The sequence below is a fragment of the Homo sapiens genome, chromosome 6, assembly GCF_000001405.40.
Source record: "Homo sapiens chromosome 6, GRCh38.p14 Primary Assembly".
NCBI lineage: Eukaryota > Metazoa > Chordata > Mammalia > Primates > Hominidae > Homo > Homo sapiens.
Genome location: NC_000006.12, coordinates 137,038,035 through 137,054,254, shown reverse-complemented (window position 1 = coordinate 137,054,254; position 16,220 = coordinate 137,038,035). Strand labels below are relative to the sequence as shown.

Genomic DNA, 16,220 nt, shown 5'->3' with positions numbered 1-16,220 from the left:
GGAATTAAACCTATTCTTTCTTTAGAAAGAATTGTCAGCTTTACAAAACTTTTTTTAAAAATTAAAAAGAAAACAAAGAATTTACAACCTTGATTTTTAAATGTATTAATTCATTGAGTACTTACATTACTGTGCAGTGGTATAGTTATACATGATTGATATATTTGAATATTTGAATAACCATGCCTTGGTATACTAAGTAAATAAAGAAGTACTTAACTGAATTATCAAAACTAACACCGAAACTTTACATTTCACTTTAAATGTATAAATCCTTTTTATGCAAATCTCTCTTAGGTTTAGCTCATATTAATTCAATACACAGAATAAGAAAACAACTGATGAAAGAAGAAGAAAAGTTAGAATATATGGATGATAAACAAGATATGACTCTGACTTTCAAATAATAGCTAATTTGTCCCTTTCCAAGTTATTTCATATCCTGTACAGGATAGTTGAACACTGAAATGGAGATGTGAGGATTTCAGAAAGGGAGTGTGTCTGCACATAGATGTGTGTGTATTTTCTGTGTGGGTGCATATACATGCTGGTTAAGAAACAGACCCTTTGGATTTGCAGCTTAAAATATATAGAAAAAAACTTCAGAGAAGTTTTATTTGTTTTAACAAAATTCATCGGGAATGTACTACATTCCCAGCATTACACTAGACACTGGAGATATAAAAAAGAACAAGGCCGGGCGCCATGGCTCACGCCTGTAATCCCAGCACTTTGCGAGGCTGAGGAGGGCAGATCACCTAAGATCAGGAGTTCAAGACCAGCCTGGCCAACATGGTGAAACCCTGTTTCTACTAAAAATACAAAAAAATTAGCCAGGTATAGGCATGGGCACCTATAATCCCAGCTACTCTGAAGGCTGAGTCAGGAGAATCACTTGAACCTGGAAGGCAAAGGTTGCAGCGAGCCAAGATCACGCCATTGCACTCCAGCCTGGACAACAACAGCAAGACTCCATCTCAAAAAAAAAAGAGAGAGAGAACAAGGCATAGTTCTTGCCCTCAAGAAGTTCACAGTCTAATAGCCATATATGTAACCACTTCAATATAGTGCTATAAATACATATATAACTGATACATATTTTTGACATTATCAGAACTGTGTGATATATACAGAATACATATAACAGTGGCACAAAGGAGCCACGAGAAACACTGGAAATAATGCAAGAAATATACTGAAGATGAAGATGGAAGGATATAATGCTTGAGTAGAGCCACAGAAGTCTTGGAGAACTCCCAGACTTTTCACTTGGGTAACAGAAAATATAGACACTGTACAGATGAGTTCAGCTTGGAACAAGTTGAAATTTAGGTACATAGGACTTACAAGTAGAGCTGGGGAATTAAGAGAGGGATTTCTAGAGCTCAACAAAGAGGCCTAGATTGGAGATTGAAAACTGAAATTGGCCTGGTGCAATGCCTCATACCTGTAATCCCAACACTTTGGGAGCCGAGGCAGGAGGACCACTTGAGGCCAGGAGTTCAAGACCAGCCTGGGCAACATAGCAAGACTCGTCTCTACAAACATAAAAATAAAATTTAAAAGTTAGCCAGGCGTGGTGGCACAGACCTGTAGTCCTGGCTACTCGGGAGGTTGAGGTGGGAGGACTGCATGAGCCCAGGAGTTCAACGCTGCTGTGAGGTATGATTGTGCCACTGCACTCCAGCCTGTGCCACAGACATTGTACCCACCCCCACCAAAAAAAAAAATTGAAATCACCCATGGAAATATTGTAGAGTGAGAAGAAAAGTGAATAAAAAGACAAAACTGAAGAACTCTAATGTGTAGGGGATTGTTACAGCAAGAGGAACCTAGGGAGAAAATCCAGATGCCACTGATTGTTTATTATAAAGGTAGTCTGTGGCTGCCTGGGGATAGGGCTGGGGGTGGGGGTGGATGTCAGTGAAGTTCACAGAGGCCATCACAGGTGTATTCCCCAGGAAGCAGACTCTGAGGTAGACTTTAGTATGTACGGTGTTACTGGGGAGGGCCCTTGTGATAAACACCTGCTGGAGGGAGGAAAAGGAAGCAAGAGTGGATGCAGGTGAGCTGTGAGGAAGGTTCAGCAACAGCCTTGGCCAAAGGAGCTCTGGACTTAGAATGGACAGAATTGCCCCAAGTTGGACCAAGATGACTAGGTCTTCATTGTCCCATATCTGATTAGTCATTGGAACTGAGCCTTGGAAAGGGACCTGACCTTGGGTGAGTCAGTTCCCAGCCACTCAGAGAGTCCTTGAAAAGGCTGACAGCTGGAGGCTTCTAATATTAGCACTCCCAGGAGCTTGGACAACAAATCCGTCTTTGAAGTGGGGTCTGGGTGGTGCATCATAGTGTCTAACACAGAGACCAAGGCCACACTGTTTGGATAGAGTGGAATTGAGAATTAATCCATATATGACACCAGAGCCGTGCAGTTTCCTCAACATTAGGCCATCAGTTGGCCCATAACCCATCCTCCATTTGTTCATTAAAGGATGGAGAGATGAAGAGTCTGTCACTGTTTGAACTCTCACTTGGGGGCCAGATAAATGCTTATTTGGAATTTGGGTAAACTGAAGGGGCCATTTCTGTAGTTATTTGACTCTTCCTCTATTCTTTAGGCATCAAGAAAAGAGTAAGTTTCTTTGCTTTCAGCCATATATATATACCTGTCTATATAAAAATGACCCATCTTTTAAGAAATTGTTTCTCCTTGGTTTCCTCCAGATTAAAGCACACAGAAACTTTCTCTCTTTCTCTCTCTCTCTCTCTCTGTCACACACACACACACACACACAAACACACACACACACAGAGTACCTTCATATTCTGCAATTTCCAAACAATGGAATACCATTCTCCAATAAAATAAACCAGGGTTCCATGGAAAAATAGCTGGTTTTAAGGCTAGCAGAGATAAATTCAAGACGAGGCTGGAGTCTCTTACATTACCAGAAAGTAAGGAAGTGCTCAGGACAAATCAAAACAGGATGGGGGTGTATCAAGGCAACACAGGTGTCAACCTGAAAGAGCTCACAATGGCAAAAGCTGGAACAATTTGAGCAAGAAAATAAAGAATGTAGCATTGGACTATAACCCAAAGTATAAAATAAATACATTTGAGTCCATATTAATTTAAATAAATGATTTAAATAAATCAATAAGTAAATAGGGAGAAGAGAAGGGACAGATCTTCCTTGCAGAAGATTTCCAAATAACATACAAAGTTATTTCCTCCCTTCAGAAGGGGGAGCTTAATTTTGGCCACCACCACTGTCCCTCCCCAAGGGTAGGTTAGACTTAATGACTGTCTTCTAAAATACAGAGTAGGAAAACGTAAAACAATACCTTTACAGTACAGAAACCTGGCAAACACTTCCTTAAGCAAGTGATGAAGGTTAACATCATTATCAATGTCATGTGATGTCATATACTCTTGATATGATATGATTAAAAAAAGCACTTCACCTCTGTGATACTTTTTTAAGAAACCATTAACTTCAGTCTAATCATGAGAAAAAACATCAAACAAACCCAGACTGGGGCACATTCTATAGGACATCTGGCCAATACGCCTCAAGACTGTCAAGGTCATTAAAAAAAAAGGAAAACCTGAGAAACTATCAGACCAAAGACTGAGAAGACATGCCGACTAGATGTAGCATGGTACTCTGGATTGGATCCTGGAACAAAAAGAGAAAAACTAGAGAAATCCAGGCCAGTTGTGGTGGTTCACCTGGGGAGGCTGCAACAGGTGGATCACTTGAGATCAAGAGTTCAAGACCAGCCTAGCCAACATGGTGAAATCCCCCATCTCTACTAAAATACAAAAATTAGCTGAGCATGGTGGTGGGTGCCTGTAATCCCAGCTACTTGGAAGGCTGAGGCAGGAGAATCACATGAACCCTGGAGACAGAGGCTACAGTGAGCAAGAGATGATGCCACTGCACTCCAGCCTAGGTGACAGAGTAAGACGCCATCTCAAAACAAAAAAAAAAAAGAAGAAGAAGAAAAACTAGAGAAATCTAAATAAAATCTAAAGTTTGCTTAACAGTAATGTGCCAATGGAAATGGAAGTTTCTTAGTTTTAAAAATTTACCACGGTGATGCAACTGTGTGAGGAGTGTACAGAAACTCTGCACTACTGCCTTTGAAACTTTTCGGTATACAAGTACAACATTAAAAAACTAAAAAGCTCCTTTTGTTAAAACATGGTATTGATGCAAAATGGACAAACAGACCAAAGAGTAGACATCTAAAAATGACCCAATACATATATCTTCAATAGATTTTCAACAATAATGGCTAAAGCAATTTAATGTGGAACGAAAGTCTTTTTAACAAATAGTACAAAAACAGTAAGACATCTATTTGGAAAAAAAATCTCTACTCTTTTCTCATACCATATACAAAAATTAGCTCAATGTATTGCAGACCTAATTATAAAAGCTAAAACTATAACATTTCTAGGAAAAGCCATCTTTCTTTCAACCTTGGGATACACAAAGACTTCTTAGACGAGACACCACAATCATAACGAAAAAAAGTGAAAAACTTGACTGTATCAATATTAAAAACTTTTGCTCTTGCAGACATCATTGTAAAAATGAAAAGGCAAGTGATGAAGTGGGCAAAAATATTCGCAACGCACATATCTGACAAAGAACTTGTACCCAGAATACATAAAGGACACCTACAACTCAATAATGAAACAACCCAAATGTCTATCAACCGGAGAATGGGCAATCAAATGGAGTATATTCAAATAATGAGACGTCAGGGAAACATGAATATTTTCACGTTTCTGGATGGTTTGTCTCCCTGAGCAAAGAAAATTGGCATGCCATAGACTGTCTCCTCTTCCACAGAATCATTTGCTCCTCACATTGCAAGGGTGTTAGATCTGGAGCCATCTGGTCTCATTCAGAGAGTAATAAAATTTATCTCCCCACCATAGCCAAATGTTTATATTCCAGGGTAGGTACTTTCCCCTTTGCCTTCCTGAGAGAATTAATTTACTTTCCAAGAAATCTGTTGACATTAGGGAGCTAGGGTTTTTCTTCCTCTCTCAGAAGAAGACAGTGGCAACTAAGTGGTGTGTAACCTATATAAACTCAATATTAGATTGTCTTTTTATTTTGTTTTTAATTTGTTTGAAGCAATTCATTACATATGCTGAATATTAGGCCTTTAGCAATTATATTCATGCTGTTTTACAGTTCAGACCTCAAAAACCAGTAAGATATCTATATGGAAAAAAATTAATCTTTACTCTTTCCTCATATACAAAAATTAGCTCAATGTATTGTAGACCTAATTATAAAAGGTAAATCATAACATTTTCTCAAGTGTAAGAGGCATATAAGGAAATTATTAAAAGCACAAACTTTGAAAATAGATGAACCAGCATTCAGTTTCCAGTTTCTGTTGCTTATTAAACGAATGACCTGTCCAAGTCTGTCTCCTTGTTTTGAAACTTGGGGTAATGTAACTAACTCTCAGAATTGTTGTAAGGATTGAAGGAGGTAGTTAGGAAATTTAAATTTCTTAGGTAGGATCTGACTCAAAGAAAGAATTCAGTAACTTCGTATTATTAGTATGTATTATCCTTGGAAACTATTTAGTAATTAAACTAGGATAGAAAAAAATTATTTTTTGCCTGTGGTATTAGTGTTTGGGGTGGGAGGTAAGGAGTAGTGGTTTATGGCCTTTTTCATCGGGAAGCCTGGAAATCCTATACATCAGGTTCCACAAAATTAAGATCTCAATGTGGTAAATCATGGCAAGAGGAGTTGCAAAGTTGAGAAGTAGAAGAAAACCTCAATTCGAAAACATCATTTCAAAAGTCTCTGAAGAACACACTGAAGATTATATTGCCTGGGAGGCTTAGATGGGGAGGAACCAAGACTGCTGCTTCCCAAAGTTAGCAGAGGGGGGTAAGAGGTTAGATTTGAAGATACTAAGGAAACTCACTAAGGTGAGTTCTGGGTCACAGATGCAAACAAAAGAAAAACTGACTCCACTCTTTATTTCAATGCATGGGAAACATCAACTGAATACATGGCAAGTTCTCAGGTCACACTCATCCTGTAGAACCCTAGCCATTCTGAGGACAGAGTGGTGAGTTTGTGAACACGTAAAAGACAAGCCTTAGAGGTAAAATTTTGACTGCCTTCTGACAAGTGCCAAGGGGAACTTGAAGAGGAAAGGAGAGAGGGGACGAGAGGCATGCAGAAAACTGTTTGTTCTCAGACAATTGACAGCCCACTCATGGGGGAAGAAACTCCAAGTCGCAGTTACTCCATCCCCTACCCCGTTCCCACTTTCCAGCTGGAGGAAAAACTTGGTGAAATAATGAAATGTCACTGTTCAAGTTCAGAAGACTTAGGAGATAAGGGAAGGCTTTGTATAGGTCTGCTTTAGCCTCTTGAAGGGTCTGAACGATTCATATTTGAATAGAAATGCATACAAAATTTAGATATCCAAAAATGATTGGCCCCAAACACTTTTGTAGCAAATATTTACCCTATTTAACCCACAAGACTTAAGATGATAATGATGAAAGTAAACTAATACAATTTATAATCAAAAAGTAAGAACAACAGCAACTCAAGATAATATTGATAATGTACTGATCACACAGAGTCCTTCCTAAAACGTTCTGGGATTACAATGGAATCAATAAGAGTCCAGTTGGGAAAACAGAAACCACACTAGTTATTTCAACAGAAAGAATTTGCTGTAAGGAATTGGTTAAACAGATGTTGGAGTACTAAAAAAGTAAAGCAGGAATACTGAGATTGAAAGAGACAGAGTGACTACTAGAAGCAACTACCACCGTCAGGGTTAAAGGAACACAGGGCAGACGTGGGGTTCAGATCCCAGAAGCGAAGCCTCCAGGAAACTGGGACTCAGACCTCTGAGAATGGGGCATAGCCTACTCAGTGCTGGTATTTCTCAGGAGATGCAGTGAAGCTGATTCTGGGAGTACAGGAAGAAGCTGGGAACTAGAAACAATTGCTCCTAGAACTAGCTGTCCCTGCCAGGGTAAAGAGGCACTGTGGGGCCTTAGTGACAAGAACAGCAAACAAATAGGAAGCAAGTCCCTTCTTTCCTCATCCAGCTTTCAGGATTCCTTCAGGGCCCCTTTTGGTGGAAAGGAAAAGAACCAGCTAACAAACAAGAAAAGTGGTTTGAAGAGGCCTCACGTCAGCACCACGAAGCTAACATCCCAGCCTAAGGGGCCCTCTGACCCAGATTCCTCCTCTGTTTCCAAGTCTTTCAGGAAGGAAAAAGTAGCATACTTAGGCGACTCAGAAAATCCTGCCCCATCTTCTATCTCCTTACTCCCTCCTCACCAAAAAAGATCTTTTTTAATACTGAAGACCCCCTTTAAAAAGAAAAAGAAAAAGAAAAAGAAAACAATAGTTGCTCTAATTTGAGTGTCGTTTCCCTTTATTGGAGCATTTGAAAACAGACATTTAAGGGCAAAAGAGATGGAACACATCTGAGGTAAATCGTGTATCTATCTTCAGGCTGTGCCCAACCTTTAGAACCACCTAGAAAGGTACAAAGCTGAGAGCCTCTCTCAGATTTTTCATATAGTATTTCAAGACTCACCTCTTAATTGCACCCTTCCCCCCTCCCATTATAAAGAGCATGGAACCTAGGACCCACCGCCTTGTGTGGAAGTCCACACACCACTGGTCACAGGCCACTCACAGGTTTGGGGGACTTCATGATGATTCCTAGACTTTCTGAGTTTCCCTTGCCTCATCTGAAAAAAGGGCCAGGACCTAACTGCAGGTTGTGAGAGTTGAATGAAATCAAATAACAACTTTTCAGTCAGTGACAGACTGCATATACAAAGGTGGTCTCATACGATTATAATAGAGCTGAAAAAATTCCTATTGTCTCTAAAGACCTTCCAGGAGGACAGGATGTGAGGTGGCATCAGTGGCACTGACAATCCTGACCCTGTGCAGGCCTAGGCTAATGTGTGTGGTTGTGCCTTAGTTTATAACAAAAAAGTTTAAAAAGTAAAGAAAAAATAAAGAAAAAGAAAAATTTAAAAATAGAAAAAGCTTATAGAAAGAATACAAAGAAAAAATATTTTCATACTGCTGCACAATGTGTTTGTGTTTTAAGTCAAACGTTATTACAAGTCAAAAAGTTTAGGTCGGGTGTCGTGGTTCACGCCTGTAATCCCAGCACTTTGGGAGGCCAAGGAGGGTAGATCACCGGAGGTCAGGAGCTCGAGACCGGCCTGGCCAACATGGCGAAACCCAGTCTGTACTAAAAATACAAACAAATTAGCCGGGCGTGGGGGCACACACATGTAATCCCAGCTACTCTGGAGGGTGAGACAGGACAATCATCAAAACCGGAAGGCAGAGGTTGCAGTGAGCCGAGATCGCACCACTGCACTCCAGCCTGGGCTACAGAGCAATGCTCCATCTCAAAAATAAATAAATAAATAAAGTTTAAAAGATTTAAAAGTAGAAAGTAAAAAATCATAGTAAGCTAAGGTTAATTTATTATTATTGAAGAAATAATTTTTTAATAAATTTAGCATAGCCTAAGTGTAATACAGTGTTTATACAGCCTATAGTAGTACACAGTGATGTCCTAGGCCTTCACATTGACTCACCACTCACAGACTCAGCCAGAGCGACTTCCAGTCCTGCAAGCTCCATTCATGGAAAGTGCCCTATACAGGTGTACCATTTTTAAAATCTTTCATACTGTACTTTTGCTGTACCTTTTCTACGTTCAGACATGTTTAGATACACAAATATTTACCATTGTGTTACAATTGCTTGCAGTATTCAGTATGGTCACTTGCCGTACAGGTTTGTAGCCTAGGAGCAAACAACAGCCTGTACCATATAGCGTAGGCGTGTAAGAGGCTATACCATATAGGTGTGAGTACACTCTAAGATGTTCACACAAGAAACTCGCCTAAGACATTTCTCAGGAGGTAATCCTGTCATCTTAAATGATGCATGACTGTAAGATCTACGGCTGAGTGCCTAACTGTATATCGAGAAATAACGCTCTATTTCATCCGTCTTCCGATATTGAACTTTAACTGACCATCAGACCGGCCTGAATACCAGAATCTCTTTGCAATGCACTCGCCTCGCTCATTACCAGAAGGAGGTTTTACCTGCCTAGTGACCTGGTTGGTCTGGGCATGAACCCCGAGAGGTGGAAACTCTCAGACTCTCAGGACTGACAGCCGAGTGGCTGGGGACTATAAATCCGCGAGAACTGCCCTCGCGCTGCCATCCAGCTGGGTAGCCGGGGGAGCGCGCGTGGGGGCTCCGCGAGTCGCTCGCCCTTGGTTTCTGGGGAAGCCTGGGGGACGCGGCTGTGGCGGAGGCGCCCTGGGACTCAGGTCGCCTGGAGCGTGGCACGCAGAGCCCCAGGCGCGGAGCTGAGGCCGCGCGGCCGCGCTTGGCCCCAGCGGGCGTGGGACTGAGCAGTCTGCTGCCCCCCGACATGTGACCCAGCCCCGCCGCCCATGCGGGCTCCCGGCCGCCCGGCCCTGCGGCCGCTGCCGCTGCCGCCGCTGCTGCTGTTGCTCCTGGCGGCGCCTTGGGGACGGGCAGGTAGGTGGGTCGCGCCGCCAGGTGCGGGTCGGGGATGCCTCCAGGCCGGGGCCCCGCCAGGCAGAGCTCGAGGCCGAGCTCTCCCCTCCTGCCCGCCGGCCAGGTTTCGCTTTCGGGCGGGCAGAGGACGAGGTGCGCGGAGGCCGGAGCTTCCAGCCCCGGGGCTGCAGGGAGCCCGGGGGACACTCGCCGTCGCCTCGCGCACCTTGGCTCGGGGTCAAGTTTGCAGGACTCCGCGCTCCGCACTTTCGGTCTCGAGAATTGAGGTGGGGTGGGGGGAGTTCGGTGGGGGGTGCGCTCTGCGCGGTGCCCACAGCCTATGACTTGCGGTCGGGGACGGTTACCATGCGGGGCCCCTCGCCGGCCAGTCCCAGGTTCCCGCCACCACCGCCGCGGCCGCGCGGAGGGGCCCCTGTGGATGCCGCGTCTCGGCCGCCGGGCCCCGCAGTCCTGCAAGCCGCGCGTCGCGAGATCCGCGCTTTAAAAGCCAAACTCCCCGAAAGGGTCAGCCCCGAAGGAACATGATCCAGAAAGACGCAGCTTCTTAAAGTAAGCTCCCCCTGTCCTGGGTACGCCGTTGTTTCCTTTGCAGTTATGACCATGTACAGATAGTGCTCTTTGATTTTTCAGAAATAACAAAACTTTTAACTCGTTTACGACATAAGGTAACTGAAGAGCTCTTTCGTTTTGTTTGGTTTTTAAGTTTAAATTCTCTACCAATTGGAATCCAGTAAACCAGAATGATTCATTAACCTGATTGCTTTTTTTCCCTGTATTTCTCGTACATGAGAAAAAGATTTTTTAAAAAAACAAAAAAGATATCCGGGATCCCTTTTTAAAAAAATTATTTTAAAAAACAACAACAAAGCTTCTCCAAATACTGTGCTTTGTAGACACTTCGTTCAGGCCCCGCTGTCTTTTAACCCAGAACTGAACAGTAAGAGTGAATGCAGGAAGAAAGTTGACGGTGAATCTGGAGTCCTTGGTAGTTAAAGAAAAAGTTAAATTCAATATAGTTACAACAATAAGAAAAGTATGCACACAGATCTTGGAGAGATTTTGAACGATAGCTATTATACATAAAATATTTTATCTTTTAAATTTATCAGAAATTATAGTTATTTTTCCTTTTAATATTCCCGGGTAGACTGAATGGGAAGAAACGACTGACGTGCAAATATTGAGCCTTCAACTAACAGACAGAAATTTGTTTTTATTTTTAATCGAAGAGAGAAGCTGGGCGCTGTGGCTCACACCTGTAATCCTAACACTTTGAGAGACAGAGACATAGGCAGGAGGATGGCTTGAGGTCAGGAGTTTCAGACCAGCCTGGGCAACATACGGAGACCCCTGTCTATACTAAACATTAAAAAAATAAAAATAAAAAACTAGCCAGACGTGGTGGCAAAAACCTGTAGTCCTAGCTACTCCGTGTGCCCAGGAGTTCCAGACTGCAGTGAGTTATGATCACGCCACTGCACTCCAGTCTGGCCAAGGGTGAGACCCTGTCTTTGGGGAAAAAACCAAAAACAAAGAAAGTGAGAGAGAGAAATAAAATTGTTGGGTGCTGACATTACCAGGTAGTAATGTTCTTGACTTCAAAATAAAATTTACAAAACAAAACAGTAAGAAATCTTTTCTGACCCAAGAGACCTTGATACTACTTTCTTAGCTCTTCTTAGGGTATTCCCGTCCTCTCCTGGGTCTTTGGGCTAAGGTCTAAGGACTGCTGGGAAGACCACCTTAGAAGATGTATGTAGTTACCTGGATACTACCTGCTCGTAATTGAAGGATTATCTACAATGTCTTCTGTACAACGTGGGCTTACTAAGGTTCTATGACTTTGCCACTCTCAGGTAGATTAATGCTTTAATGCTCTCATTTTTTAAACTTCTAAAAATTTTCGTCTCACAGCTCAGTGCCATATCAGGCTGTAAAATACCAAAACATCCAAAGAGGAAAAAAAAAACTCAGCATGTCATGAACCTTGTAGGGAAATCTTGGTATTTCATTTCAGATAAAGTTGTAATGGAATTCAAAATGTCTATGCGGCTCCCTCAAGGCAGGTGCAACACGCTGTCATTCACTCTTGGACCCCTCCAGGGACAGAATTTCACAGTGAAGTTTATCCTTATGGCTTATCAAACTCCGCCCTATTGGCCATTCCCATATCCTGTTCTCAGGAACGATAAAGAACCATGATTAGCATAATATAAACAGGCATTTAAAGTCACTAAGATAGAATGGGAGATGGTGACTTCTCAGGTCATCTGCCTCCTCTGCTCAAAGCCCTTCAGAGGCTTCTACTGTTCCTGGAATCATTCTCAGTTCTACAAGATCCTGTGTGGCCAACTCCTGCCTGTCTCTCCAGCCTTATCTCACACCACCTAATTCCTGCTATCCTGGCCTTTTTCTACTTCCCAGACAAGCCAAAGTGTTTCCCATCTCACTCATACTGGCAGTTCCTCTGGAAGTTCCTACTGGAGATTCATACTGGCAGCCCCTCTGCTAGAATGCTGCTGTGCCACTCTATTCCCAGCTAACTCCTGCTCAGACTTTGGCCTCTCCTGCCAATGTGCTTCCCTCAAGAAGGTCTTCCCTAGGGAGTTCAACAATGAAAACACATGGACACAGGGAGGGGAACATCACACACCAGAGCCTGTCGGGGGGTGGGGGCTAGGGGAGGGATAGCGTTAGGAGAAATACCTAATGTAGATGACAGATTGATGAGTGCAACAAACCACCATGGCACATGTATACCTATGTAAGAAACCTGCATGTTCTGCACATGTATTCCAGAACTTACAGTATATATATATATATATTTAAAAAAAAATAACAGGGTCTTCCCTAAATCCCCAAAGAGGAAAAAAGTATAGCTTATGATGTCTATTAACAAATAAACTTGAGTTTTGGAGCTTTAGATTGCAGTCTAAATACCAAACAACAACTATGCTTATTAGAATGACTTAATGGAGTGAGAGTATTAGTCAAAATGTCTCTTCTTTGATACAAACATGGCAGCATTCCGTATTTTATTTCACTGAGAAGTTATTCCAGGACATACTTCACTCACACACACACATACACAGGGACATAAATGATTCTAGTGAACTAATTAAACTTGCAGAATTATTTTCTTTTTTTAACTTTTAATTTTGAACTAATTTGGGACTTGCAGAGAAGTTTCAGAAATAGCACAAAGAATTCCCATATCCCTCTCACCTGGTTTCTCCCAATTAAAACATCTTATGTAACCATTGTACAATGTTCAGACCAGGAAATTAACACTGGTATAGTGCTACTCACTAAACTATAGACCTTGCTGGAGTATCACCCATTTTTCCAATAATGCCCTTTTTCTGTTTCGGGATCCAGTCCAGGATCTCCCATTACATTTAGTGGTCATGTCCCCTTAGTCTTCTCCAACTGGTGACAGATCCTCAGCCTTTCTTTGCTTTCATGACCTTGATACTTTTGAAGAGTCCCAGTTACCTCTTCCTTAGAATATCCCTCAGTTTGGGTTCATGTAAAGTTTCCTCAAGCTTAGAATGAGGTTATTCAATTTTGGCAGAAATGCCACATAAATTGTCACTTCAAAGGATTTGTAATATCAACATGTCTTCTTATTGGTGATGTTAACCTTGATCGCTTGGTTAAGGTGGTCTCTTCAGAGTTTCTTACTATAAAGTTACGATTTTTCACTGTGTGACTAATAAATATTTTGCAGAGAGATACTTTGAGATTATGCAAAAATCCTGCTTATCCCCAAACTCACACCCAACTATTTTTAGTATCTATCGGTGGATTTTGACTGCAAAAACTACTATACCTAGTAGTGATTTTTTATTTCACTCTTTTTTTCCACATTTATTCATTGGAATTCTATTACAAGGAAGGGTCATCATTTTTGCCTTTTTAGGTATTTATTCAATTGGTTAAGTATATCAGTATGGACTCATGGATGTGTCTTCTTCTTTCATTTATAATCCAATACTATCATTATCAGTTTTATTGCTCATGCTGTTCCAGCTTTGGCCACTAAGAGTTCCTTCAGTTTGGCTCCTGTGTCCCTCTAAGGAACCCCATCTTTTTTGAGCACTTCATTAACTTTCTAGTGCCAACAACATTCCAGACTCATCTAGTGTTTTCCCTGCCCCAGGCCTGGAATTAATGACTTCCTCAGGAAGCTCTGGTTCCTTCTATTGGAGAAAGGTGTTTAGAAACCAAAATCTGGGTGTGAGGCATGCTTATTGCTACTGGAATGTTGTTTCTAGGTGCTCTCGGTGGACGGAGCTGGGAAATATGTGTGTATAGACTAACGTAGTTATACACACACATCTATATTTCTGTATGTATCTGTGGGTGTGTATATATATTTAAGACCGTGAGTTTGTAATGGTGCCACTAATTTCAACCTAACAATCAAGTTTCATTCTAGCCTTCCTCTTTCATTTACAGCCTCTTTGTCTAACAGTGAGAAACCCAGATGTCATTATCTACAATAGACTTATTTGCCTGATTCTAATATAAATATTTTCAGGATTGCTAACTCATGCTCTTATGAGAAAAACGTGTACTTACTAAATTATAGCCTTTATGTACAGTTTTCTGGTCTTAAGCTTTATAATATCCCATGAAGATACTATTGACCAAAGTTACCTGGCTTAGTCCTTTTTTTTCTTTACTCCTTTTGGTGTGGTTATTCTATCCATTTGGGATAAGTTCAGTTCATTTGTTAAACTGCTTGTATTACAATTTGGGTTCCCCCTCATGCTAGTTGTTTTGTTTGTGACATTTGGGGCATTTGGCAGCTAGGTGAAATATTACTGTGCTTATAAAAGTCAGAGCTATACAAAACGGTTTTCTCAGACAAGTGTGGCTCCCTTCTGAGCCCTACTACCTCCTTTCTATTCCTCACCATACCACCACCTCTTTCCCATTACACTATAAATGTGATTACGATGTTGTACTTACACTGTCATTGTGATATTCTGACATCATTTCTACTTTGTTCTTGGTCCACATTCCATGCCATCTCCTTCATTTCTTGTTTATTTTTCCTGAATTTCTTTTGCACCGATGAGCAAATATGTGTATGTTTTAAGATCCAGGTCTAAATCTGATTTCTGTACTGCAGCTAATGGAGGATTTGCTCGCTCAAGTGTTCTTTTTATCAAAAAAGCATGTCTTCTTTTCCAGCCTCTCTCCTATTGCCCTTCAAGCAGACTTGGGGTGATTTCTTATCTATAGATTTGCAGGCCTCCTGATCTATCAGCTTGAGGCCCAGCCCCAGCCTCCCCAGAGAGTATCATGTACCCAACATCCAAGCTTATGGCTACAGGTATCTCCAGCCTCACTCCTCACAATGTGCACTCCTCCTGCCTAGAACTACTCAGCTTCCTATAGAATGAATTCAGGAAAGGCAGTATTTGCGACCTGGAGAGCAGCCAAGGAGATTGGTTACCCATGGAAAGCGGCATGGAATAGGAACGACATAGTAGGGCTGAGGAGGAAGCACCACCTCCCTGATTATACCTTTTCGTTTAGCTCTGACTCTTAGAACCATAAGGTAGGACATATATATTTCACTTACTCATAAACTGTGGGTAAAGACAATAGGCAAGTGGGATTATTGCTTTAAAATTAAGATTTTAGTATAAACATTTCAACATAAAACTTTTGCTGTTTTTATAATTTTTTAATGAAACTGTATATCTCTATGTTGCCTTTTTTAGTGCTTGGCATAGTATTTTTCACAAAATGATTGTTCTGTAAAGTTGTATGGCTTTCTTAAAAGCAACTTTCATTATATGCGTTACATTTTAAAAATGACTTTCTATTTGCACCATTTTCTTCAAAGTACAATTTTACCAGGTGTCATTGACATGCTGACTTCCATATTGATTTAAAAAAAATGATCATCTGAGGCTTCAGGCAGCATATATTTTATGGAGTAAAATCGCATTATCCATCTTAATTATAACATTATACTTTTGCTATCATCGTGATGTTCTGACAGCATTTTTACATTTTCTTAGTCTACAGTTTATGACATAACACAAAATTTGATATGAGAAACATGAATTAAATCACTTTAATCAATTCCAAGGTCTATCAATTACATATAAAATTGGAGAACAAGGCCAAGGGCAATGGGTCATGCCTGTAATCCCAGAGCTTTGGGAGGTTGAGGCAGAAGGGTCACTTGAGGCCAGGAATTTGAGAGCAGCCAGGAGAGACCCCATCTCTACAAAAAAATTTCAAAAAATAGCCAGGCTTGGTAATGCCTAGCTGCTTGGGAAGCTGAGGCAGGAGGATCACTTGAGCCCAGGAGTTTGGGGCTGCAGTGAGCTATGATCGCACCACTGCAACTCCAGCCCGGGCAACAGAGCAAGACTCTGTCTCAAAAAAAAAAAAAAAAAAAAAAAAAAAGGAGAACAAAAGAACTATAGAAAGAAAGTATGCTAGTCAGAGACATTAAAATTAAATACTGCTTTATCTTTCAGAATTCCTTTTGATGTAGAAACTCAGAGTTGACAGGACCTTAAAAGTCACCCCACCCAGCTGCCACTCTCTTGATTGTCCTCTGCAGCATCACTTCCA

At 41.3% G+C, this 16,220-nt stretch overlaps 1 protein-coding gene across 5 annotated transcripts in view, besides 3 other annotated features; it reads left to right on the top strand.

Annotated features, from left to right (window-relative positions):
- The first annotated feature begins 9,289 nt into the window (after nt 1-9,289).
- Nucleotides 9,290-16,220, top strand: part of IL20RA (interleukin 20 receptor subunit alpha) — a 44,995-nt gene continuing 38,064 nt past the window's right edge. For 4 of the 5 annotated variants that reach the window (NM_001278724.4, NM_001278723.3, NM_014432.4 and 1 more), the window contains exon 1: nt 9,290-9,614. Coding sequence is in view for 2 of the 5 variants with exons in the window: in NM_014432.4 (NP_055247.4) it covers nt 9,527-9,614 (88 nt within the window). In the remaining 3 variants the exon portion in view is untranslated. Of the gene's footprint in view, nt 9,615-9,980; nt 10,164-16,220 lie in introns of those variants that run through there. The other variant, NM_001278722.2, reaches the window with a different exon arrangement.
- Nucleotides 9,478-9,537: a silencer, noted in NCBI's record as "silent region_17579". NCBI's record gives its function as "represses an Ori minimal core promoter by ATAC-STARR-seq in GM12878 lymphoblastoid cells {active_cell/tissue: GM12878}" and the evidence as "EXISTENCE:reporter gene assay evidence [ECO:0000049][PMID:35858748]".
- Nucleotides 9,568-9,677: a silencer, noted in NCBI's record as "silent region_17578". NCBI's record gives its function as "represses an Ori minimal core promoter by ATAC-STARR-seq in GM12878 lymphoblastoid cells {active_cell/tissue: GM12878}" and the evidence as "EXISTENCE:reporter gene assay evidence [ECO:0000049][PMID:35858748]".
- Nucleotides 9,748-9,797: a silencer, noted in NCBI's record as "silent region_17577". NCBI's record gives its function as "represses an Ori minimal core promoter by ATAC-STARR-seq in GM12878 lymphoblastoid cells {active_cell/tissue: GM12878}" and the evidence as "EXISTENCE:reporter gene assay evidence [ECO:0000049][PMID:35858748]".